The following is a 27,299-nucleotide window of genomic DNA, read 5'->3' on the forward strand; positions in this document are numbered from 1 at the left end:
TTTACTATTCAGTCAGTTATGCTGGGATACACATTAGATGATAGTCTCTAACATAATTGCAAATTTGCAAGCGCTCCTTCTCCTGTGGGTCAGTTTACACTAGCAACTCATGGGCAGTTTAGTAAGAGCCTACCTCAACAAGTTTAACATGCTGGCTTTATTCTTGCCATTACATTAATTAATTATTAATTAATTAAATTTATTTACTTTAGAGATTAAATAAATTTAGAGATTTAATTAGAGATTTATAAATAAATATGTATGGTTTTAGAGATTGATATTTCAATTTCTTTCTTTTTTTTATTAACAACAAAATTTTTTAGAGGGGCTTCAACTTAACTGAATAGGATTAAAGGTGGATTCTTTGGTCAGTGTTCAAGAAGAGACCCTATAGCTACTTACAAAGGAGTCCACACCTCAAAGTAAGCCACTCAGTAAAGCTTATCTATTTTCACTGGAACGAAAAGGAGCTAAACAAATGACAAATTCTACTAAACTACAAGGAAGGCAATCAGCATCAGTTGTGCAACTTTGGTTAAAATGTCCCAGCCAAAAAACATTCTCTATCATTTCATCATTTTAATCAGGTAGCTTCTCATTCCTATTTGCTCTGGGGTTTCTCTGCTAAAATGTCCACATGTTGATTAAATAGCAAACTGAGACAAGCCCTACATTTTACAGCCTGGCCGCCAAAACCAACGCCCCCACGTTCATGTAGATGAATGTGGAGATCGACTCAGGTCATCAACTTAGCCAAGGCTGGAGCCAGAGAAATGTACCTGGCCAGGCAATGCCCTTAGGTGGCATCAGGTGAGTCATCTGGCCAAAGTCATACTCTAGAAAGGGAAGATTGTGCATATAATTGAAAATGAGAGGGAGAAAGTGGCAACAAAACACCACAGCACAAGGTATCTGAGGGAAGGAAAGTTCCGGCCTTGTATTTTGTCCCTAGCATTTAGCCACCACTGTGGTAAGATATTGCTCCCGAATGGGAAATTTGTGTCCATCTGTGGCACATCTTTGCGACAAATCTTACCAGACTTCTATAAAGGTTGCCAATTAAGGAAGAAATTCTAAATATTTCCAGGAGGAAAACTAGCTTAAATGTATTAAAGGTACTTTCCAAACCCAAAAAGTCATTTAAAAAGTATTTTTTGAAACCTAAAAGTTCTATAGGTAGATTAAAGAGAAGTCAACTCAGACTCTGAAACAGCCTTATAGGAAAGCTGTTTTACGTAATGCATTTGATTAAAAAATATAAATAATTTTTTTAATTAAGAAAGTCTCAGGAACACAGAAGTGGTAAGAAGAATTTAACATCATTTAAGAATTATGTAATGCATTTGATTAAAAAATATAAATAATTTTTTTAATTAAGAAAGTCTCAGGAACACAGAAGTGGTAAGAAGAATTTAACATCATTTAAGAATATCAAATTAATCCCAATTAAAAAAAATCATCCTTTACATCAGCATTCCATAAAGCAGACTCACTGTGAGTTAAAAAATTTTAAATGCTCACTGGAAGGATTTCTCCAGCTCTCTGCATTAGAACTGGTGTTTCCATCTGAAAAATCAGACTCAGAGAAACCTTCTTTTTCTTCCTCTTTCTCTTGTTTCATATATGGCGATGCTAGAGTCAATTCAACTTTACTTGTTTTTGTAGAGTTTTCTTTGTTCATCAGGAGAGGAATGGGTTGCCTATTTCTGGACACACTAATTGCTTCAGAAGCCTCTCCAAAGCCAGGTTCCTGAAGAGTCCCTTGTCCCCCTGCAACCCCACTTTCACTGTCCCTGTCCTCTGGGGGGGTTACAGTTTTAATGGTCCCTATTTCATGAGCCACATAAAGTTGTGGGGTTCTAGGGATCTCAACTCCACTTCTGGAACCACAAAAATCTACCAATAAATCAGTCACAAGTGCGTCTCCTCCCAACATTTTATCACATTGGTTGACTTGAGATTCCAAACCATTACTTTTATCCTTCATTTCAGAGGTCTGTGAGGCTGCCCTGTAAAAATGGGGCACTGTCCCCAAGAACCTGGTCTGCTCTGACTGTGAGGACTCCTTCTCGTGAGTTTCTTCTCTCACTGACACCTGGGGCTGATAAGGAGGAGCTTCAGTTATTTCTTTAAGAAGTTTCTCAAAACCAGCATCAAAAGCACTCTCAGTTATTAACGGAGCCTCGGCCTTTTCTACTGTTTCTTTTAATTCCTCAGGATGGCATTCAGAAGTGGCTCGCCTGGGCTCCTCTGTACTACCTATTAACTTTGATGGAGAAAGATTCCCTGTATCACTTTCATATTTTGAGGGGAAGGTTTCAGTTTCTTCCTTCAGTAGTTTTTCTAAGCCAGCACTGAATTCGAGGAACTCTGATTTGGGTTGAACAATTGTTTCCCTCACAATTTCTTCCACTTCCTGAGGGAGGCCTTTGCCATATTGAGCAACAATGGAAGCAAATGAGCTAAGCGTCTGGTCTGATGGAGACATTTGGGCAGCTAAATAAGATCCAACTTCATGAGTTTTATCAGGAACTACATTGGAGGAATAAAAATCCTTCCTGTCTGGAACTATGGTGTCCATCGTAGCCCATGGTGATATCACTCCTGGAGGATTTAGGGGGCTACATACTGGCTGTACTGCTTCAGGAAATTCTGGGTTCACTTCTCCAGGACCTACTTCCCTTCCAGCTGGATAACTTAACCATACTTCTCCACACAGCTTCTGTAATGCAGCACTTACATCATTCAATACAGGTCTGGGTGGAAGAATGACTTTCTCTACAGTCTCCGAAATTTCCGTTTGAGAAGGGTGTACCCTAGCCTGGGGAACAAGATGAGCATCCTGGGGAAAAAGCATATCTTGGGGAGGGCTGGCCACATCCCCAAAAGAACCCTTTCTGGAAAGCTGGGAAGTTGGATCCAATGGATGAGAATCTTCTGCAGCCATCTGAATCAAATTCTGTGTGCTTAGCTGGCACTCACCACTTTCAGCTTTCTTGAGGAGAGCTGTATTTCCAAAAGTTTCATCTCTCACTGGAAAAGGAGCTAGTATTTCTCTCTTATCAGCTGAAGTATTGTGACTCTGTTCTATCCCTTTTCCAAAAAATCTCCCCTCTTCCAGCTTAGAGTTGGTTCCAGTGATAACAGGCGCCAACTTGGCTTGCAAGGGAGAGGGTGAAGTTCCAGTTGCTTCCTTCAGGAGTTTGTCTAGACTAGCAGTCAAAGAGTTCCGTTTAACCTTTGGATGAACTACTGTTTTGTCAACATGCTCATTAATGATCTTCTCAGGTCCTTTGACTTCTTCCTCAGTATCAGCAAAATCTGTTTTTTGAGGCCATGTCCTATTTTCAGAAACACTTGGTTCAAGCACTTGTTTTCCATGAACTTTTCCACCAGAGGGTTGAATTGCTGGTGTTGAGGTTTCTGAAAGCAGTTTCTGCAAGCTGTCATTAAAAGTGTCTTTGCAGTCTTTAGACAAAACATTGGTTTTTATTATGGATTCTTGAATCTCTTGTTCTGAGTAATCCTTTTCTTCCTTAAACACTGGAGTAACAATCCCTTCCGTATTCTTTTCCACATTTTCCTTTGATGACTCATTTCCTGGCAACTGATAAGTATACTTTCTAAGTGGACTCAAAGGAAATGTGATTTCATCTGGTAGCACCTGGAGTATGCCCTTTGAATTTAATTTCTCCATTTCCTCTCTTGCCATAACTTTTTTTGGGCTTAGAAGCACCTCTGCTTCATGGGTATTTTTACCTGATAATTTAATGTCGCTGAATTCCTTGTGTTTCTGCCTATTAAAAGGTGCAGAATTTTTTTGGCTTGTGGTGGTAATATTCTTGTCATTATCCTTACTGTTTGAATTAGCTTCTAAGTCCCAAAACTTTCTCAAATTCTCAAACTGAGAGGGATTATAGACCTGTTCTGCATTGGGTTCATCCATTCTTTCTTTTAGGGACATAACTTTAAAGTTGGCATTTGATTCACGAACTAGAGGTCTGTCTTTCTCCAATGGAGCATGTCGTTCACTCCCGACATTTGAGGGAGGTTGCAGTGCTGGTAAAGTAATGTTTCTTCTAGAAGGCAAACTGTCTGCCACTTGTGATCTTTTTATAGGCTCATTTTTCTTATTCTGAAACAGAGACACTTTATCTGATTGCTCAGCTGAAAGATAGTATCTGGATGGACCTGCTATTTGTGGCTTGGTCTCTTTAGATTTATTTGAGGAATAAGAATTGGAGAGCTGGGATGCTTGATCATCCTCATCTAAGACCACTCGTTTGGGAATGGCCTGATTATATTCACTCTGGTCTGTAGATAAACTGTCCATGGATGATACACCCTGTGACTTCTTCACAGGCTGATATGCTTTAGCAGAAGGTTGTTCCTGGCTACATGAAGATGTGGGTTTTTCATGAGTTATCTTAGCACCAGCTTTCTCTCCTTCCCAAAAGGATATTCTGTCACTCACTCTTTTGTATTTCTCTCTCTGCACTTGGTTCTTGGGAACCTCACCAGCTTCTTGCTGGAATTGGACCTCAGGCTTCTTCCAAGGAGAGCCATTGTTGGCAACCCCAGGTGTTGACTTAATATTCTCTGGCTCTAAGGAGGCTTTCAGGATATAGGTATTTCCTACTTTGCTCTTTCTCTCTGCATTCATGTTATCTTTCAAACCTGGTTCTTTGACAACTGTTGAAGAGTCAAAATTCACTTCTGAGTGTCCTCTATTTTCTTCATGAGCATGAAACTTGGGTTCTTCTTCACCCAAGTTGCCAATATTATTAGTGTTGCATGGAACTTGGTTTTCTGCATCAGATTCCTTGAGAACACTGTAGGAATAGTTACTATTTGAAGGAGATGCCCCATTCCCTTTTCCTGGGCTTTTTGAATCTTGGCTATAGTCCATATTTTTACTCCCTTGACTTGGGGTGCCATAGCTTTCAAATGGTTGCAATATACCTGGGCCTTCCTTTGGGGTGCCTTTTTGGGACAAATTCATGAATTTGGATTTGATATTCACATTATTATCTTGGCAACTTTCAGAAACCAGCATATCTCCCTCTGCTTGGAATGGTGAGTCAGATCTCACAGGCTTCAATTCAATTTTGCTGGGTGATAGGGTCTTTGAGCCATTTTCTCTTAAAGTAGTGTCATCTGTCACCAAGTCAACAGCAACCTGTGATTTTGAGTCTGTTTTTTCTTTGGACTCTATTCCTCGGGGATGTTGGAGGAATGACTTATTGTCATCTGAATAAGAACTTCGGTTAAACCAGTCTAGAACTTTAAATATGGAATCATCAGTTGACTTCTTTATCTCAGTGGCATATGGACCAGAACGTGAAGATGTCTTAGCTTTTAGAGCCGGGAGAGGAGGGGGCTTACCTTGCTGACGGTCTCTAGAACTGCCACCTGGCACCTGAGATGGCTCAGGCTCAACACAATGAGACAGTTCATCTGCAACATAGAAATACTTTTCTAAATAAGAAAAGAGCATGCTTAAAGAACTGTTAATCATTCACATCATCATCTTTATAAAAGCACTTTGTATTTGCACTTTCTATACCAATAGCTGTTTATACCAGCATTTTTCAGGGGTTAAAATGTAAGTTGTCCTAATTAAGGTATTCTACCAAAGGTGCCCTATGACAGTAAAGGAAAGGAAATGTAGAGACCTGGAAGTACATGGTATAGACCTAACCGAAAAATTTCTTTGTAGTTCCTTCTTTATTTTAAAAATACATGTGAATTTTGCATTCTGTTTCATGTTACATTTTATTTTATTATTTTTTTTGAGATGGAGTCTCGCTCTGTTGCCTAGGCCAGAGTGCAGTGGCGGGATCTCGGCTCACTGCAACCTCCGCCTCCCAGGTTCAAGCGATTCTTCTGCTTCAGCCTCCCAAATAGCTGGGATTACAGCCATGCACCACCACGCTCAGCTAATTTTTGTATTTTTAGTAGAGACGGGGTTTCACCATATTGGCCAGGCTGGTCTCGAACTCCTGACCTCATGATCCACTCACCTCAGCCTCCGAAAGTGCTGGGATTACAGTCATGAGCCACCACACCCAGCTCCATGTTACATTTTAAATGTTAATTTTCTCTTACTTTTAAATCTTTGTATAAAACTGACACTCCAGGAAGATATGCCATGCCGATTTTATGACTTCACCCATCCCCTGGCACATATCATAAACCCTAGAGGGGGCTTAAACCCAGGTTTGAGAAGCACAGACTTAAGTGATTTCAGGAGTTAGAAAAATAACTTTCAAATAAGACTAAACAAGGAATTTTATCCACAATATTTAAATGGGAAAATGAGGATATTTCCATTCCTGGGCCTTACTATTGATGTATTGAATGAGAAGAATTTCTGAAGATTGGGCACAGTAATCTTTACTAACAGCTATTCTAGTGATTGTTCTGCATACTGGGGTTTAAGAACCGTGTTTTCAATCCAACAAAGATCAAAAAGACAAAGAAGGGCATTACATAATGGTAAAGGGATCAATGCAACAAGAAGAGCTAGCTATCCTAAATATATATGCACCCAATACAGGAGCACCCAGATTCATAAAGCAAGTTCTTAGAAACCTACAAAGAGACTTAGACTCCCACACAGTAATAGTGGGAGACTTTAACACCCCACTGTCAATATTACACAGATCAACGATACAGAAAATTAACAAGGATATTCAGGATTTGAACTAAGCTCTGGACCAAGTGGACCTAAAAGACATCTACAGAACTCTCCACCCCAAATCAACAGAATACACGTTCTTCTCAGCACCACATCGCACTTATTCTAAAATTGACCACATAATTGGAAGTAAAACACTCCTCAGCAAATGCAAAAGAATAGAAATAATAACAAACGGTCTCTCAGACCACAGTGCAATCAAATTAGAACTCAGGATTAAGAAACTCACTCAAAACTGCACAACTATATGGAAACTGAACAACTTGCTCCTGAGTGACTACTGGGTAAATAACGAAATAAAGGCAGAAATAAATAAGTTCTTTGAAACCAATGAGAATAAAGACACAGCATTCCAGAATCTCTGGGACACAGCTAAACCAGTGTTTAGAGGGAAATTTATAGCACTAAATGCCCACAGGAGAAAGTGGGAAAGATCTAAAATCAACACCCTAACATCACAATTAGAAAAACTGGAAAAGCAAGAGCAAACAAATTCAAAAGCTAGCAGAAGACAAGAAATAACTAAAATCAGAGCAGAACTGAAGGAGATAGTGACACAAAAAACCCTTCAAAAAATCAATGAATCCAGGAGCAGGTTCAGGTTTTTTGAAAAGATCAATAAAATAGATAGACCATTAGCCAGACTAATAAGAAAAGACAGAAGAATCAAATAGACACAATAAAAAATGATAAAGGGGATATCACCACTGATCCCACAGAAATACAAACCACCATCAGAGAATACTATAAACACTTCTATGCAAACAAACTAGAAAATCTAGAAGAAATGGATAAATTCCTGGACACACACACCCTCCCAAGACTAAACCAGGAAGACGTTGAATCCCTGAATAGACCAATAACAAGTTCAGAAATGGAGGCAGCAATTAATAGCCTAGCAACCAAAAAAAGTCCAGGACCAGATGGATTCACAGCCGAATTCTACCGGAGGTACAAAGAGGAGCTGGTACCATTCGTTCTGAAACTATCCCAAACAACAGAAAAAGAGGGACTCCTCCCTAACTCATTTTGTGGGGCCAACATCAACCTGATACCAAACCCTGGCAGAGACAACACAAGAAAAGAAAATTTCAGACCAATATCCCTGATGAACATTGATACCAACATTCTCAATAAAATACTGGCAAACAGAATCCAGCAGCACATCAAAAAGCTTATCGACTATGATCAAGTCAGCTTCATCCCTGGGATGAAAGGCTGGTGCAACATATGCAAATCAATAAACGTAATCCATCACGTAAACAGAACCAATGACAAAAACCACATGATTATCTCAATAGATGCAGAAAAGGCCTTCGAAAAAATTCAACAGCCCTTCTTGCTAAAAACCCTCAATAAACTAGGTATTGATGGAACGTATCTCAAAATAATAAAAGCTATTTATAACAAACCCACAGCCAATATCATACTGAATGGGCAAAAGCTGGAAGCATTCTCTTTGAAAACTGGCACAAGACAAGGATGCCCTCTCTCACCACTCCTATTCAACATAGTATTGGAAGTTCTGGCTAGGACAATCAGGCAAGAGAAAAAAAAAAATGGTATTCAAATAGGAAGAGAGGAGGTCAAATTGTCTCTTTTTGCAGATGACATGATTGTATATTTAGAAAACCTCATCGTCTCAGCCCAAAATCTCCTTAAGCTGATAAGCAACTTCAGCAAAGTCTCAGGATACAAAATCAATGTGCAAAAATCACAAGCATTCCTATACACCAATAATAAAGAGCCAAATCATGAGTGAACTCCCATTCACAATTGCTACAAAGAGAACAAAATACCTAGGAATCCAGTTTACAAGGGATGTGAAGGATCTCTTCAAGGAGAACTACAAACCACTGCTCAAGGAAATAAGAGAGGACACAAACAAATGGAAAAACATTCCATGCTCATGGATAGGAAGAATCAGTATCATGAAAATGGCCATACTGACCAAAGTAATTTATAGATTCAATGCTATCCCCACAGAGCTACCATTGACTCTCATCACAGAATTAGAAAAAAGTTTAAATTTCATGTGGAACCAAAAAAGAGGTTGCATAGCCAACACGTTCCTAAGCAAAAAGAACAAAGCTGGAGGCATCACGCTACCTGACTTCAAACTATACTACAAGGCTACCATAACCAAAACTGCATGGTACTGGTACCAAAACAGATATATAGACCAATGGGACAGAACAGAGGCCTCAGAAATAATGCCACATATCTACAACCATCTGATCTTTGCCAAAACTGACAAAAACAAGCAATGGGGAAAGGATTCCCTATTTAATAAATGGTGTTGGGAAAACTGGCTAGCCATACGCAGAAAACTGAAACTGGACCCCTTCCTTACACCTTATACAAAAATTAACTCAACTAGATTAAAGACTTAAATGTAAGCCCTAAAACCATAAAAACCCTAGAAGAAAACCTAGGCAATACCACTCAGGACATAGGCATGGGCAAAGACTTCATGACTAAAACACCAAAAGCAATGGCAACAAAAGTCAAAATTGACAAACGGGATCTAATTAAACTAAAGAGCTTCTTCATAGCAAAAGAATCTATCATCAGAGTGAAGAGGCAACCTACAGAATGGGAGAAAATTTTTGCAATCTATCCATCTGACAAAGGGCTAATATACAGAATCTACAAGGAACTTAAATTTACAAGAAAATTTACAAATTTACAAGAAAAAACAACCCCATTAAAAAGTGGGTGAAGGATATGAACAGACACTTCTCAAAAGAAGATATTTATGCAGCCAACAAACATGATAAAAAGCTCATTATCACTGGTCATTAGAGAAATGCAAATCAAAACCACAATGAGATACCATCTCACTCCAGTTAGAATGGTGATCATTAAAAAGTCAGGAAACAACCGATGCTGGAGAGGATGTGGAGAAATAGGAACGCTTTTACACTGTTGGTGGGAGTGTAAATGAGTTCAACTGTTGTGAAGACAGTGTGGTGATTCCTCAAGGATCTAGAACCAGAAATACCATTTGACCCAGCAATCCCATTACTGGGTATATATCTAAAGTATTATAAATCATTCTACTACAAAGACACATGCACACGTGTGTTTACTGCAGCACTGTTCACAACAGCAGAAACTTGGAACCAACCCAAATGCCCATCAATGATAGACTGGAAAAAGAAAATGTGGCACATATACAGCATGGAATACTATGCCACCACAAAAAAGGATGAGTTCATGTCCTCTGCAGGGACATGGATGAAGCTGGAAACCATCATTCTCAGCAAACTATCACAAGATCAGAAAACCAACCACCGCATGTTCTCACCCATAAGTGGGAGTTCAACAATGAGAACACACGGAAAACAAGGAGGGAAACATCACACACCAGGGCCTGTTGGGGTGGGCAGGGGGTGGGGAGGGACTGCATTAGGAGAAATACCTAATGTAGGTGACAGGTTGATGGGTGCAGCAAACCACCATGGCATGTGTATACCTATGTAACAAACCTGCACGTTCTTCACATGTATCCCAGAACTTAAAGTATATATTTAAAAAAAATTTTTTTTAAAAAAGCAAACTTGATTGTTGCTATTGTGAATTATCCTGACTATAAAGAAACTATCATAGGGTTCGATGCAGGCTTACTGAAGATGGCAGAGGGTACACAGCATGTTTTTTTCTATTGTTTCTGTTTTTTTAAAAAACATAAGAAATTATGATTATAAAACATTATGATTACTTCATGATCATATAGGTATAAAAGTAGTTTCAGGCATCCCCTGAGAGTGGTAAGACCTTCAAGACAAGGCTAGTTAGCAGGGAAAAGCAGTACCCTCATTGCCTCTCAACTCACACAAGCTGAAGGAGAAAGTGCCTTCAGGGCTTTTAAAGCCTAAGAACAAATGGCTGGAGGCCTGAGCAGGCCAAAGTCTGAGGCTTTTGCATAGTAAGGCCTCAAAGTCTAGTTTCCCATCCTTTGACACTAAGAAAGTGAAGGTTCTCTTGAGATTACAAGAGAAACCAAAGTCTGGTAAAATTGTAATTAATAAATTTGCATTAGGTGAGTAATAATACATTTACCCTGTACAAAGGTATTAGCTAATGAAAGGAAGTCTTTCTTACTCTATTCCACCTTGATTTAACTAAAAACATTGTCATTTGTTTAAATAGTTGATATGGTTATATATATTTTAGGGTAAAGCATAATGGGCCAGAAACTGTGCTATCCTGGTACTTTTAGTTATTGGTGATTGAGGAAAATCTCCAAGCCCATTAAGAGGTATAAACATTTCCAGTGGCATCTGTCTGAATTGTAGATGGAATGCCTAGAAGGTTAAATTGGGCTTCTACAGGACTAGCTGGCCTGGGCATTTCAAGCCCACCAAGTTTTTTTTTTTTGTTTTTTTTTTTTTTTTGAGACGGAGTCTCGCTCTGTCGCCCAGGCCGGACTGCGGACTGCAGTGGCGCAATCTCGGCTCACTGCAAGCTCCGCTTCCCGGGTTCACGCCATTCTCCTGCCTCAGCCTCCCGAGTAGCTGGGACTACAGGCGCCCGCCACCGCGCCCGGCTAATTTTTTGTATTTTTAGTAGAGACGGGGTTTCACCTTGTTAGCCAGGATGGTCTCGATCTCCTGACCTCATGATCCACCCGCCTCGGCCTCCCAAAGTGCTGGGATTACAGGCGTGAGCCACCGCGCCCGGCCCCACCAAGTTTTTATAATCTAGTAGTGACAACTCTCTTACCAGCAGGGCTTCTGGGTAATACAGATTCAAGCCTTGTTAATTCTGATGATTTATCTTTGGGTTCATTGATGGTTGGTGAATTCTCCATAGACTGTGGTCTTGCAGTTAAAACTTCTGAATGAGAATGCAGCCCATTAATTGGAAAAGAACCAGAAGTCATTGGCTGATGTGTTTCACTTTTTGATACATATGGGCTTGAGGTTGATTGATGAAAAAGCGAAGGCTTTCTGTATTGAGAAGGCTTAGGGTCACTCTGAAACTCTTCTGTGTCCCCTGCATCTTCCATTCCATTTTTCAATCTGTCAGATTCTAAAACACTAAATTCTCCTACTTCCCGACCATGGATTAGCCCAGGACTCTGTGGAAGCTCATCCTTCACTGCAGAGAATCTCACATGCTTTAATGGCTCCAGGGAGTTTGGGGAAGAGTTGTCTTCTAAAGAATGCTCCTTCTCAGAAATTCTCTCATGGATGGTTAGGCCAGGTGACACAATTTTGCTTTTGGGTTCAAAGTTGTGATTATAACGAAGGGTTTCTGAGTCTGTGCTACTGGAACTGGAGTTGCGCTTGAGGATCCCTCTCGGAGCCCCTCTCGCTTTCAGGGAGTCTGTCCTTTGTCTAGGAAAAGACTGGTTATCATCTTTGTTTAAATCAGTTGATTTGTAGATCATCTTCCTGGCTTTGGGGATTGGAGCCTTGATTTGGGACCCATTTGAAAGGCCTGGCAAAGTCTGCTTTGATTTCTCTAACTTTTGGATTGAAGTATCTGCGACAGTTGACTTTTCTTTTGACTCTGACAATTCATCTGAAAATTAAAACACAGTAGGTGATATATCATATAGAGAGTAATATATAATTTAAAATACCTGTCATAAACTTAACCTACACTTAGTGAAACTATTAAAATATTAAAGACAGTAAAGTATGTGGCACAACTACAGGCCTAATGTGAAAAGCTTTTAAAAATTCATGCATTGGAGCACAGAGGACTTTTAGGGCACTGGAACTACTCTATGACACTACAATGGTGGCCGCACACTATTATACTTTTGTCTAAACCCATAGAATGTACACCATGAAGAGTGAACCCTGATGTAAACGATGTACTTTGGGTGATAGTGATGTCTCAATGTGGTTCATCACGTGTAACAAATGTACCATTCTCATGAGGAATGTTGATAATGAGGGAGGCTATGCCTGTGTGGGGAGAGGGTGTATATGGAAAACGTCTGTATCTTTTGCTCAATATTGTGAACCTAAAACTGCTCTAAAAAATAACGTCTATTCGAAAAATCATGTATAAACTTCATTGCACTGTACATTTAAGATTACTGTGCTTTATATAGTTTGTGATTATTTTACACCCAATACAGAAAGTTTTTTTAAGAATGAAAAGAAAATTTCTCAAAAGAGGCTTAAAGAAAAACATAGAAGTCACTTAAATTCACCTGCAGAAATCAGAAAAGGAAATTCAGTTTAAAAAAATAAAACCCCATTACCTAACACAAAATTTATTTTTGTCAGAAAGTTAAAAACAGGCCAAGCGCAGTGGCTCACACCTGTAATCCCAGCACTTTGGGAAGCCGAGGTGGGTGGATCACTTGAGTCCAGGAGTTTGAGACCAGCCTGGCCAAAAGGGTGAAACCTCATTTCTACTAAAAATACAAAAATTAGGCGGGTGTGGTAGAGCACGCCTGTAGTCCCAGCTACTCAGAAGGCTGAGGCACTAGAAGCCCCGGAACCCGGGAGGCGAAGGGTGCAGTGAGCCGAGATTGCACCACTGCACTCCAGCCTGGGCAATAGAGTGGGACTCCATGGCCAAAAAAAAAAAAGAAAAGTTAAAAACAAACATCTAACATGTTCCAGTGATTTTCTTCTACAAAATATTTTATGTAATCTAAAACGTGCCCAGTGGAAAGTATTTTAATATTCAGACAGGCTAATTGAAAACCCCAGCTCCACTGTTTTTTAATTTTCTACCCCTAACCACTCTTTAATGCTTGTGGAATCTTCTTCAAGTTGCTTTTGAAGAGATTGAAATGTTTAGCATTTCCTCTTAACAGTATATAAAAATGATAAAATTCCATAGCAGGCTGACTTACATCAATTGAGCCACAAACCTGATCAAACGCTTTTGGGCGGCTGGGCTGAGAATTACAGATTAGAGGATCATAACATTGTCAACAGGCTTTTTCTTCTTGAGGCAAGCCCTTTTAAACAGAACTTTGTGAACACACAGTAGGCATCTAATAAATACTGTTAAGTGGAAGACTGAATGTCTTGGGTCAAAAAATCTCCCAATTTACTGATGAGGGAATCCAAGACACAATGGAAGTCACGTAACAAGTCACAGCTCTGAGACTGGAATGCGTGAGCTATCAGTTTCTCAAATTTCTGCTTCCTCTCCCTCAGGAAGGAAACCAACAAGCACCGTAAAATAAGAAAACCATCAGGACTTTTCACTTTCTCTTGGAAGTTATTTGAGCAAAAGGAACTCTGAGAATTTCCCTTAGTCCACAGATAACAAAGATAAAAAAATCAAGTTCATAAAAATAATATTTACCCTCTTTTGAAGTCTGAAATAAACCAGTTCTTCCATTTTTTGACTGTTCATTTTTAGTTTGTTGTGATGAGTGACCTTCTGGCAACTTGGAGCTATTAAACGGATTCTTCCTCTGCTGGGGACAAATATTGTTTATTAAACTTATTTTAAATGTCATGACAGCAACTCAGTGTTGGCAAATGCCTATTATCTTCAATTTTGATAGTTTTATCCCATAAACTCCATTATTTGGCATGTTTGAAAAACAGTTGTCCTGATTAATCTGCTTAGCACAGAGTTACCATATATGCCATTTAAAAATTATATAAAATATATGCAAAGCCAGAGTCCTACAAAGTTAGCTCAGAATCAGACACTTAAATCAAAATCCCACATTTTACAGGTGAAAAAACTTGGCCCCGGATATAGCAAAGACCAGATCAAGGTCAAAGGAAACTTGGGTCTCTAATCAGGTCAGAGTCCCACCAGTGATTCTTCTACCATACCAGACTCTCAGTGTGCTAGATCACAAGTGTACAAAATACAACTGTAATTGACCTTTCCTAAAGATTTTGGAGACATTTTAGGTATCTTGAAGTGCTTCATAGTCATTATTATTATCATCAATTCTAATGATAAAAATGGTATCAATAGAGGTTTTAAAAATTAATATAGGAATCAATAACAATGTTTACTGTCTATAGTTTAATAAATTAGCAATTCTCTCCCAGAAGCAGATCTCTAACAGAGATTTAGGAAGCTATGCATAGGAATATAGGAATAAGGACTGACATGGAACTAACAAGCCTTATTCCATATGCTAAAAAGCAGCAGCACCAAATAGCTTCAGACTTTTTACCCTCTAGGGCAAGAAATCTGGGTCTTCAGCAATGCAATGACATGGTATCCATCCACTTTTTCCACCATGAGAGTGACTTCTTAAACTAGTGACTTCTTAAAATAGTGAAAATTACCTGTATTTGGTACCAAAAAACTGTACTACAAAATTCTCTTTATTTTGTGGTGCTTTGACACAATGAGGAAAAATGGCATTCCTAACAAATACAAGATTTTCAAAATCTGGGCTCAGTCTACCTTCTCTGGAGACACATTTGGTTTCCTTGTGTTTTCCTGGGACATATCAATCACACTGGAAGCTGGATTTACCACACTGGAACTGCAAAAGAAACAATAATTCAGAGAATAAAACCTCACCTTTTGAGGAATCATAAATTATGCCTCTGAAGTGGAAAGCTATCAGCAGGCTAGGAGAGGAAGCTGGTGCAGAAGAATAAGAAGGATTCTCTAGAGAATTATTCCCTATCCCAGGGACAGGACAGCACCAGAGTGAGAGTAAGGCAAGAGTGAGTGGAGACAAGTGAAGTGAGCAGGCTCCCTCCAGAACCACCACACCCTTGACTGTTGATTGAGAAGGGCAAAAGAGGGTCACGGAGGCCCTGGGTGGGGAGAGGAACAACCTGCTCAGACTTCCTGTTCCAGTGGTCTTGCCTCAGGCACAGGAGGTGAAGTTGCTATTGGCTGAAGCCTTCGTGTCCTGTTACCACCACCAGTTCTCTCAGTGGCATCACAGAGTCAGGAGCTTGGAAAACACCTTAGTTTGTGGAGGTAGGGGTAAGATTCCTGCTTTTCCCCATGAAGTAAGGAACCAAAGGCCTGGAGAGGAGGGGAATAATTTGCCCCCAAGGCCACAGAACCTCAACCAAGATTGTTGTCACTAAAACCATGGGCTAGATGTTCCTGCAGCCTCATTTCTTTTCTTTATCTCTGTACTTCAATTGCTATTTTTACACAATTACTCCCAAGAAAAGGCTGAGCTCTTGAAGAAGCCATTCTTCCTTTCATTACTTCCTTTCATTGTTCCAGAAAGGCATTATAGCAGATGAGCAGAAGGATATAAAATACAGCCTGATTACATAGAGGCGAGAAAGGGGGAAAATAGAGGATGGGAGGGAAAGGGGAGGGAACAGAATAGGAATGTATAATGGAGCCCGAATTAAGACTAATAGACACATTACAGGAGTCCTCCATTCCTGTAATAGGTGTGCACAAACTTGAATCAAGCTATCTAGAAACAGTGAAAAAAGAAACCTAGTCACTGATATAATTCAGTCTCTATATAATAAAAACAACCAATAGCTCAGAACCAGAAAGCAATTTCTCTTGAATGTCATTTTTAGAAGCCAGTGGGTGATATGAGGAACAACATCCCTATAGTCGATGCTATGCTCAGTTTCTCAGAGTGTTCTGCATAATCTTCCTTAGTAAATAAAGCAGTTACATAATCAGAAGACCTGAGCCAAGTGCTGATGGTTGGGGGTCTCTGTGGAACACCTGTCTTTTTCCACCATCTTTCTCCTTTCCCCTTCCCACTCACCAAGCCCAAAGGATAAGCAGAGTGTCTATATCCTTCTCCCTCTGCTCCCTGAAATTCCAGTTCCTGTGCCTCCAGGCCGCCAGCCTCAACAGCCCATATTGCAAATCATGTAGTCCCTACCTCCTAGAGATGAGGTCTCTCCCTTACTGAGCTGTACCTAGCTATGTATTTCATGTCTACTATGCAACCTCCTCTGTGTATACATATCTTACCTCGCATAGTAAAGTGGGAGATCCCTCAAGAGTATCTCAAACATCTTTATATCCCCTGCAGTGCCTTGCACAGTGCCTGGTACATAACTGGTGAATGGCTAAATAAACGAAGGCCAATTGAGCCAGTGCCAGGAGAAGCAGCAACAGATAGTAAGCAGGAGGCTGGCTTTTTTTTTTTTTTTTTTTTAATCCATGTTATTTGCAAAACTGCAGTGAGGCAGACTATTCAGGTATTAAACAAAATGTCTGTTTCCGCTATTCGGAAAGAAAAAGAGAGGAAGAAACAAAACAGTCAGAACACATAGTCAGACACTAAAATATTAGAAACACACAGGATTCATTCAGTTACCTTGTGGTTGGGATAGGGGCAAACTGGGATGAGGGGGGATACTCAGTTAAAGTTTACAGTCTGCTTAATAGGAAAAAATTAAAACAAGAGTCTTATTTCCTCAAATTTTGTCTGAAAATGCAGCTACTTCCTAGTAGCTTTGTTTCTCTCAAGGGATACTATAATGTTTTGCTTGTCTGTCTTTTATTGGGCAATCAGTACTGCAACCACCTTATTCTCAATTGATCCTTGCATCATCTCTATGTTATCTATCATTTTATCTATCATTCTCTCCATCTCACTTATGAAAAAACTGAGGTTCACAGAGGTTAAGTCACCTGCTTGATGTTACAAAATTGGCAAAAGAGCTGGGGATTTGAACCCAGGTGTGTCTGACTCCAAAGACAATCATGGTAATGGCTAGGCTATACTGCCTCTGGTTTCTTGCATTAAAGCAGTGGCTTGTGGCAAGAGGACTGGAGGCAAGTCTGGGTGATTCTTCCCTCCCAGAGACTCCCACATCTGTCTCTTCTACCTCTACTGACACCTCCTTTATTTGTGTCAACTCTATTGGCCTCACATTTGGCTTCCTGACTCCCAAGTTCCACTCTCCTAAACCATTCTACGTTCTACCACTACGCTGGAGTGGTCCAAAATGCAACTTTGGTGGTGTCTTTCTTCTGTTCATTACCTTTGCAGGATCCTCAAGGCCTGTGGAATGAAGTCTGAACTCCTTGGCAAGGTACTGGAGACCATCCACCATCTGCCCCAATATACTTCCCATTCTTCCTTTCTATTGACCTTTCATGCCAAACAAAATGGTCAATCTACTTACTGCCCCAGAAACTCACCTGACTCTGCTATTTCCACTTAACCTATTCCCAGTCCCTCCTTGTAAGTGTTCTTTTTGCTTTCTTTGTCTACCCAAATCGTCCCTATCCTCTTCATGCCCAGTCCAAATCTCACCTCTTATATCAACCTGGCTAGGAGTATGTCTCTCTTGCCTCAATTATTGCAGCACATTTTATTGGTACTTTGGATTAGGAATTTCCTTTCTTCCTGGCACTATTTGCTATCATGTGGTCATATCTTCATAAATCGGTGCATTATTTTTCCTAAGAGAATACAGAATAGAGCCAGATACTGTGTCTTCTGTTTCTTAGAATTCCTCTCAGAGGGTAGCAGACTGTGTCCTGAATATAAAAGATACTCCATACATTCCACATGATAAGATTTTTAAACTATGAAGCAAGCCAAATTCCATACCCTGTGTTCTGTAACCTTCCCTCAGGCACTCTTCAAAAAAGGAACTGCAACATTAGAAGCAGCACTCAGACAGAATTAGTTTACTTTGTTAAGAAGATTATTAAAATATTAGACTATGGTATTGGCATCAGGGTGCCCCTCCTAAAAGCATCTTCATTTTAATACAAGTCTTTGAAATCTTAAATAAAAAGAATAAATAACATCAGGAAGGGCCACTGGGGGAAGAGGTTTTACAGCCGTTTTAAAATTATACCACACAGGCAGCTGCCTGCTATACCCAGCCACAAGGTGCTTCTATGCACATGCAGTCATTTAAAAAAGGTTTTTAACGTTCACCAGCCTTTCTCTCTACAACAGTTAAAAATAGTAGCAGATATGCCTTTTTCTGAGGTTTTTTTTTTTTTCTTAGCTTAAATGTTGTTTATAGAACCAAATTCTACAAGTGTTGTTGACTTGTTTTTTGTTGTTTTGATCTCTCCCTTTGTACTGTGACTTCCTTGGGGGCTCAAGCTGTGTCTCATCCCCAGCACCCAGAACTGTGCTGGCATGTGTTGGCACTTAATGAAGCATGAACAAATGAGCAAACAAATGAAGAAACGGCTCAGGGATGGAGTGAGGGAAGCAAATTAGAAAATATCTTATCTGAAGCACCTCAAGTCAGTATTTCTTTAAGTAAAATATTACTTGTGAGTATACATAGTTCTCCAGTGTTCCCACTGTTCAGGCTACAGAGTTGTTGAACATGCATATAAAAGTATGAGGCATTTTTATGTCACAGTGAAACTATTCTTACTACAACTGATATGAGTAAATCTGAGCTCTTATAGAATTAAGAATTATTATTTTAAGAGTTCAATATAAATGACTTTGTAGGCCAGGCCTCCAAGAAATGAAATCTTCACATTACTAGATTTGCTATCAATCCTGGGAAAAAATATCAGATGCATTATCTCAGATTGGCTCATCTCTACCCTGCCTTTGGGAGCAAGCTAGGTACCTTACACTCATCTTAATACTAGGGGTAAACGCAATAGCTAATCCTTCTGGGAGAGGGAAATTAATATCTACGAAAGACTTTCAGGAAAAAGAGCATTGTGGGGGAAAACTAAGAGCTAAAGATGTGGCTTTAATTGATTGGTTCCTATTCAACAGACGGTAAGAAGGAGACTGGTGTCAGAAGCATCCCTAAGGCACAGGCAATGAAGCACAAAGACTTACCAAATAGTGTTTTAATTCTACCAAAAACAAAGTTAGGTGTAAATGCACAGTTTTTCTTGCAAGGAAATTTATCATTTTCTTGCGATTTTACAGGTAAGTGCCCAGAAGAAAACCTGCCAATGCCATGGACTGAAATACAACAGTGAAGGGTTGATCTTGTTCTCCCTGAACTCATTTGGGAGACATTCTCTAGAGATGTTTGATTACTAGCCATTACAAACCTCTGCAGCAGCCAAGCCTCCTTACAAGCCAAGGACAGGGCATGGCCACGCAGAGGTTTATTGGCTACCTCCTGCAGTCTAGTTCTCCATCTTGAATGCTCTTCTCTCATAGCTATGCAAATCTGAGAGGGCCCTCAAATTCTCCTCTATTTTTCTATAATTGCCAGGGCTTATGGGGACACTTCTGAAGTGACAGCTTCTTAGTAAAACCAGAACAGACCTAATTTGATAGTCAGGAAACATTATACCTCATTTACGGACAGGGTCCTGACCTTCATGGGATGAGTCTTCATTCTGTACTCCCCACCTTGGCTCAGCCATGTCCTGTGGATTACTGTGTACATATTCAAGAGTTATTTTCTGTTGTGGGGGGCACACAATGTGCTATCAGCATATGGTTCATGGACCAGTGCCCATCCATGCACTGTTTGCCACTGGTTCACAATGAGATAAGTACAGAAACGGAGGCTATGTGCTGAAGAACTATTTATAGCAAACATGATCGACGGGCTTATCTTTTGCATGCCACTGTTGTTTTCTGTATTTTATTTTTCTAGTATTTATTTTCATTATATTTTACATAAGATATCAATCTGTGATGATTAGAAATAAAAACTTTAAAATGAAACAAAACTAGTCCTTCACTACAAAGGGTTTATGAAGTGCTGGTCCAACCAACACTGCCCACCTGAAAAGTCTGTAACCAGAACTAGAAATGTGAGCATTCAGGGTTTTCCTTTTGCTACTCCAGAACAAGCCTTATTTTCTTCTCCTCTGCTCATAAACCTCTCTGCTTCCTTGTACTCCAGGTGCAAACAAAGGTGAGTTAAGAAAGAATGCAGTCAGCTGCCAATGCTTGACTACATGCTGGGTACCCACAGTGTTTTACTTCTTCATGTGTGGAACCCCACAGAATCGTGCCCACAACAGAAAGAAAGATGTTGCCACAGAGCCTATTAGCAAAACTCCAGAAACTACAATAACCAGCCTATCACCTTACACTCCCCAACTTCTGACTCCTGGCTAAGGAAATACTGACAGGTATTGAGTCATTCTATTAAAGTTCACTTAGTCTAAAAGTACAGGCCCCAAAATACACTTAACACACCCAGTTCACAAAGGTTAAAGTATAGGTAAGAAACATTGCAGGAACTTGATACTGAGTAAGGTAGTAGTTTCTAATATAGAAAGAAGGAAGTAAAAAATAGCTCATTCTAACTTTCTGGATAATTACCACCCATGGCATGTGTTATAGGACTGGCCTTTAATGAGCAAAGCATCCTGGATACGCCTAACATCTTTATTCTTGCCTTCTCAAACATACTTCATCCATGTAATAATAACAATTTTCATGCCACCGGAAAATGGCCAATTTTCTTTCTTCCTGAGAAATGCTGACTGATTCTCATACCTTGTTTCATTTAATCTCACAATGTCCTGGTGAGGAAATTCTGTTCTGATTTACAGATGAGACCTGAAAGACTTGCCTGAAGTCACACAAGGAATGCAGAAAATAACGGAGATGCTAATCTTGAATACTATGTTATTAGCCTCAAGTTGAGGAAGAGTGGGAGAATACCCACCAGCCCCACGGTTCATGAAGAAAAAGTTAGGCTATGAGGACAGTGGCACCTCTGACCCTCAGGCCCACTGAGATAGAATAAGTTCCTGGAAGAAGGATGGAAAGTCTGACCCAGATAAAATGGGGCAATGAGCTATTTGTCTCTGATGCTCCCAAATCATCTCCTTTCCCCTTCTGTGGCACCTGCTCCCTCCTCCCTCAGCTGGTCAGTGTTCTAGTGCTCCCCAGTCCCCATCAAAGCCAGCTCTTAAGAGCTTCTCTCAGCTTCTTGGTGGTAAATATAAATAACTATGTTCTCTCTCTTTGTGTTTCTTTAACATGACAATATTTTAGGTCTCATCTTTCTTTATGAAGGAAGGCCTTCATTCCATTAGAGAGATTATAGGCAGGTGGCAAGTGGGGAGTCACCCAGGGGGACAGAATAGTGTGTCCTTCACACTCCTTCCTGGTGTTCCTGAAATATCTTATATGTAGGCAAGAGCTCATGCTTCCATTTCTTGAGCACTTACTACGTGCTAATGGGCTGCACTGGGAATTCTATATTCACTGGCTAATTAACTTCTCAGTAATTCTGCTAGCAAACTATTAATATTATTGTTCCCATTTTAAAACTGAGGAAATAAAAGTCCAAGGAGTTAAGTCAGTACTACTGTAAGGTCACATTATCAATTAGTGACTACTATTAAGGTGTTTTATCCCCAGCAAAGATGGCCTCTACAGATATAAAAGAATATTACAAATAGTCCCAGAGGGGAAACAGTGCAGCCTGCCATTCATGGGAAACAGAATGATCCCCTTTCCAAATGGGAAATAGATAAATAAAGGGTACCCTTAGAGTACCCATAGAGTCAGTATTCCATTATCCACATGATATAACTTTACTCATATTTGACTTTAAAATACCTATTGGTACTTATATCATATACCCTCCCTGACACCTATAAACTATGCTAGAAATATCCCTGTTTCCAGGTGCCTCAGCCTTAGACCCTGATTCAGTGACATCCCACCAGTAAATTCATCAACTTCATCCCAATTGAAGACTCTGAATTGAACTAACTTAATTGAGGAGCTACAGGTAAAAGGCAACTGCCCCTCTCACTAAAGGGTAACAACTATGCCCTCAAGGAACAGACACCCATGAGAAGATCCTTAAATACCTAAAAACAAATCATTATGGCTCAAAAGGTTTATAGCAATGTAGGCCCACAATTGGCTGCATCTCAGCAAAGATGTACAAATGTACATTTTGATTGGTCAGATAACAACATGTAGGAAAAACACCAAAAAACCCCAAGACTATAATATTGAAGATAATCTATATCCTTAAGAGGCATTTACTGAGTATCTATCATGCCAGGTATTCTACATACCTTATCACTAATTCTTGCCATAGCTTTTCAGGTATATATTATTGTTCCTAGCTATAGTTAAGAATATAGACTCAGAAAGGTTAAATGTCTTGCCCATAGTCAAATGGCTAATAAATCGCAGATTCGGCAATTGAATTCACATCTATCTGGTTCTTGTGCTTGAGCTTCTTCCATTGCACTAGGCTGTTACAATCTGATCATAGTTTATCTTTTCCCTGAAATGACTTATTCCTTGATATTCAAATTGAAGTACCTCTTCATTCTACTCTAAGGAGAAATCCATGGGAGAAATAAAAACGGCTCTTGCTGGTACTGGAAGAAATCACCACTTAACATTTTTATTTTATTTAAGATATAGATTTGTTGGAAATTCTGGAAGCTGAGAAAGAGTACCACTTGGGCTTTATCTGCATCGGGGCCCAGAATTCTCTCATACACTGCCCCTTCCCCATGCCCATGACCCCAGTCTGGCATCTGTACTCATAGCCTGCCATTCTGCCCATGTGACACCCCAGGCCATGAAAGCCACATGCAGCAGCTCTCCCCAGAAGCTTTGCCTTACCTCGGGCTTGCTGGTGCTGCATCTTCTTCTGGCTCTTCTACAACGCCAGCCAGCTCTGGAGGAAGGAAAGCATCTTTGTTGACATTATTCACCCAGCTTTCCTTTGCCCCATTTTCTCTGTCTTTACTCTGCTCAGCTGAAACAGGAAACAGTAAAGACAGGAAGGTTATCTCTCACCTCCATGACCTACAACTCTCTTATCAGCTCTTATCACTGAAGCCTTGAACCTGAACCTCAGGCCTTCCCAGTGCCAAGGCAATCACTGGGTCTAAGTAGTTGATCAGAATTACATCTAAGAGAGAAGTCAGTAAATTCCCACGACATTAGATTTCCCCAAGCAGAGTCTCTTGAGAGAATGAGCATACCTTTAAATGTGAGAGTAACTCCAGAGACCATTAAAGCAAAATTCTGACTGCCTCTAGGTTAATCTGAACTGAGTTGGGGTCAGGTCTAAATGTGCATGGCCAGGGGATGCTCAGGGCAGGAAGTCCTCAGTGGGATAGAAGCACCATCATTACCAAGCATTTACTGAATAGCTACAATGTGTTCAAATATCTTGTATGTGCTCTAAGATACAAAGGGGAACAAATGATTATGGTCTAGGAATGTCTTCCTCTGCTGCCTTCTCCTCCTCCCCACAGTCTCTACAAATCCAAAACTACATATTCTTCAATCCCAGCTCAGGTGTCAGAGCCCCCATAAAACCTCTGTGCTCCTGCTTCAGAAAATAACCTCTTTTGCCTCTGAACATCCAGCACTCACTCTTTACCTGAACATCTCTGATAATTAGCAGCAACTGAATGATAACTAACTACCAGGCACTGTGCTGAGTTCTTTGCATGCATTATTCTATGAGAGCTATTTTCCAAGTACACAGATTTGAAAACTGAGGATCAAAAAGTTCAAGAAACTTGCCTAAGGCCACAGAGCCAGTAAGTGCCCAGAATACTTTCATCAATATTAGGATGAAGCAGTGCTGGAGCTTCCAGTTTCCAAATACCCATATTCCAGGAGAGTATCCCCCCACAGGTCCTGTTACATGTAAGCCTAGTTTCTTCAACTGCAAAATGGGGTCACCTGGTACTAACCAGTACCCTCAAGATTTCTGAAGGTCTGGGTGATTTTGAAAAGCAAGAGGGCTACAAACAATGCACTGTACGTACTAAGCAGTCAGTCCTTTTCTGCAAGGAGTATGGCACTAATTCAGAAATATTTTGAAATCCTGGCTCTGCCATTTGCCAATTACATAATCTCGGGCAAGTTACTTAACTTCTCTGAGCTTCATATGCCCCATGTATAGAATGGGGGAAATAATGCCTACCTCACAGGATTACTGCAACAATTAGAAATAATAGAAATTAAATGCCTATCCTATATCACATGCTCAAAAGATGATGGCTATTTTCCTTATTGAGTACAGGGTAGACCTTGACAAGGCTTTACATGGACTAAGCCAGAGTTAATTAGAGAGAAGGCAACCAGTAAGTATTTAATGAACTTGATAGAATTTTAAACAAGCCCTCAAAAGATTGCCTTTGCCAGGCATGGTGGCTTATGTCTATAATCGCAGCACTTTGGGAGGGTGAGGCAGGAAGATTGCTTGAGGCCAGTAGTTCGAGACCAGCCTGGCCAAAATAGTAAGACTCTATGTCTATTAAAAAAAAAAAAGACATAAAAATAATGCCATGATATAAGGAATACGCACTATCATAGTAACCTCCCTGGCCACAGAAACCATGCTACAAGCCCATCTGGGGTGGGATGCTGGCTGCCTTTGCCACTTTTAAATGGGCATTGTCATGATAGTATAAATCCCATCAATTCAGTAGATGGGTGGATAAGTAAAGATTTCCCCCCAAACCTTTAGGCAGAAGTGGGTTTTTGGTTGGTTGGCATTTTTATTTCCCCCCTCTTTTGACTTTCACTTTTAAATGTTACTATTGTAGGCCACAGGCATGACAGGCAATAAGCAGGTGAAGAACCAATGGAAAAGTGTTTTAAAACTCCTGTGTTAGCTAACAGGCTCTTGAATATATCACTGTGGTCCACAGAGAGGGCTGGAGTAGGTAGCAAGGAGATGCTGTGTCAGCTACTACAGCCTCAAAACAAAGTTGATGTCTGTCTGGACTTTAAACTTGTTCCTATACAGCTTAATTTATTTTTGTTTAATCAAATAAACAAGAAGGTTTTTCCATTAAAAAAATGTCTTTACGGTCTCTTAAATAATGTACTTGGTTAATTAAGAAAGTACTACCATATGTTAAGATCACTGAAAAGAGAGGCTGATATCTTTTTGTCTAAGCCCTTCATTTTACTCAGAAGATTCTGAATCTTCAGAGTTAAAAGCCAAAGAAGAGGTGGTAGATCCTTTACAGGCCCCAACTATCTATGCTACTATAATTCAACAGGGCACCTAAAGGGCTTCCTATGTTCCTCTACACCACACTGAGTCACTTAGCTCTGCCCTCATCCATCCAAATCCAAGGCAAGGGAAATTTAAACTAGAGGGCCACACATTATGAAAAGTGTACATCCAAATGATTTCCATCAGCAGATTTCTGACACCATTCCCTTCTCCCCGCTCCTCCTTCCCAAACGAATGCTTGTTGTAAATGCACTAGCCAAGTCAACTCACCTGCTATCTGGGGCCTCTTCTTTCTCATAGATGCTCTGATGATATCTGCGCCATGGATTTTGTCCCTGTGCCTTTTTGCCTTGGCTTCATAAAACCATTGGCCACTCATATTCTTCAGCTGCTGGTCATCCTTAATTTTTTCAGGCAAATGTCTACAAAAGGAAAAGATCTTTAGTTTGCTGAGAACCCACAGTAAATAAATGAGTTCATTATGACACCGCATAAAGACATGTGTAAACACACAGATAAAATGAAGCTTTAATATTTCAGATGATCCCAGAAACTTCCCAGATGACTAACAAGTGTATGTTCACCTTTGAAAAGTCAGAGAAGACAAGGCCAACATTTTTTCAAATAAAGGTTTAATCCACGATTCCCGTATGATGCCTGAAATTTCTCAAGAGCAGATTCACTTTTTGGCTGCATTCTTCAGTGTCTGCTGTTCAAATGCAAATACCCCAGGGAGGGATAATACGGTAGGCTTCCCTAAGCCTTGGTTTCCTTATCCGTAAAAAAGCATTAGTAATAGTAACCTTTGGACTTTAAAATTGGGGTTTCTTTGAGGTTTAACCGAGTGAATTCATTCAATAGCTCTCTGCACCTCCCTGGCACCTAATAAACACTGGATGGGGTAGTCATTAGCTCATCAGTCCTTTCCATTTTGGGTGATATGAGTTTATTAGAGACTTTCCTGGAAGCCTGTGGAGGAGGAGTGATGTCTCTGATGCTTATTGTTAGGGAAAGGCATCTTTAAAAGGCTGCTGGAATCAGGGAAGACCAAAATTGAGGAGGAGTGTGTACAGGCAAGTTCCATTTGTGCAGATCCTGCATTTAAGAGTTTCACAATTATTCATGCTTACTGAAAAGCTAAAACCTAAAGAACAAACAAGATAGTCTGCCCTCCTAAAACTTCCCTAAAAACTTTGTTCTAACTGACAAGTCTTAACCTCTCCATCTCTCTATCCATCTCAGTAAAATAAAAAAATCACAAAATCTCTCTTGTTTATAGAGATGTACTTAGAATAAAGTGGAATAAAAGCTGTAAGGGAACACTATACTCTTGGAAGATAATGTGCTAACATAAATCCAAGAGGGTTTTAAGATAGTCATACAAACTAATATGCACTCTTCCTCAATTAGCAAATCAAAGTGCTTCAGGCAGAGAATGTGAATGGGCCAAGGTGGTAGCAGCGCTGCATGTAAGGGTTGCACACAGGCATACCTGGGAGTGGGAAAAAGAGGGGGAGCAGTTATCCCAGGTCTAGCAAGAATGTCTCCTCTCTCCCAAGCGTGCCTGGAGAGTGTCCTTCCACCCAGAGTAAACTCTTACAGGAACTTCCTCTCTTTGTCATGACAGCCCCATCTATAAACCCTAACAGGGAGAGCATCATTGCTTCATAGTTCTCAGTCAGCAACGATATCATGGTTTTTATTAAATGTTCCTAATGGTTTGACACTGCTTTCAACACTGTTTTCAGCAGAGCAAACAACTGCTGGACTGTTGGTGAACCTTTGCCTTCTCCTCCCAAAAGGACCAA

The 27,299-nt window shown here is 40.1% G+C and overlaps 1 protein-coding gene across 57 annotated transcripts in view; it reads right to left on the reverse strand.

The window, feature by feature from the left end:
* The window catches only part of SYTL2 (synaptotagmin like 2), a 160,642-nt gene that overhangs the window by 28,282 nt on the left and 105,061 nt on the right, over window positions 1-27,299 (reverse strand). For 14 of the 57 annotated variants that reach the window (NM_001394458.1, NM_001394466.1, NM_001365827.2 and 11 more), the window contains 6 exons: window positions 25,762-25,913; window positions 23,127-23,262; window positions 15,065-15,146; window positions 13,991-14,102; window positions 11,429-12,232; window positions 5,386-5,457 (listed from right to left, as the gene is read on the reverse strand). In NM_001394458.1, the coding sequence (NP_001381387.1) occupies window positions 5,386-5,457; window positions 11,429-12,232; window positions 13,991-14,102; window positions 15,065-15,146; window positions 23,127-23,262; window positions 25,762-25,913 (1,358 nt within the window). Of the gene's footprint in view, window positions 1-1,521; window positions 5,458-11,428; window positions 12,233-13,990; window positions 14,106-15,064; window positions 15,147-23,126; window positions 23,263-25,761; window positions 25,914-27,299 lie in introns of all 57 variants that reach the window. The other 43 variants (NM_001394471.1, NM_001394462.1, NM_001394472.1 and 40 more) reach the window with 8 other exon arrangements.

This window comes from Homo sapiens, chromosome 11 (assembly GCF_000001405.40).
Source record: "Homo sapiens chromosome 11, GRCh38.p14 Primary Assembly".
NCBI classification, from domain to species: domain Eukaryota; kingdom Metazoa; phylum Chordata; class Mammalia; order Primates; family Hominidae; genus Homo; species Homo sapiens.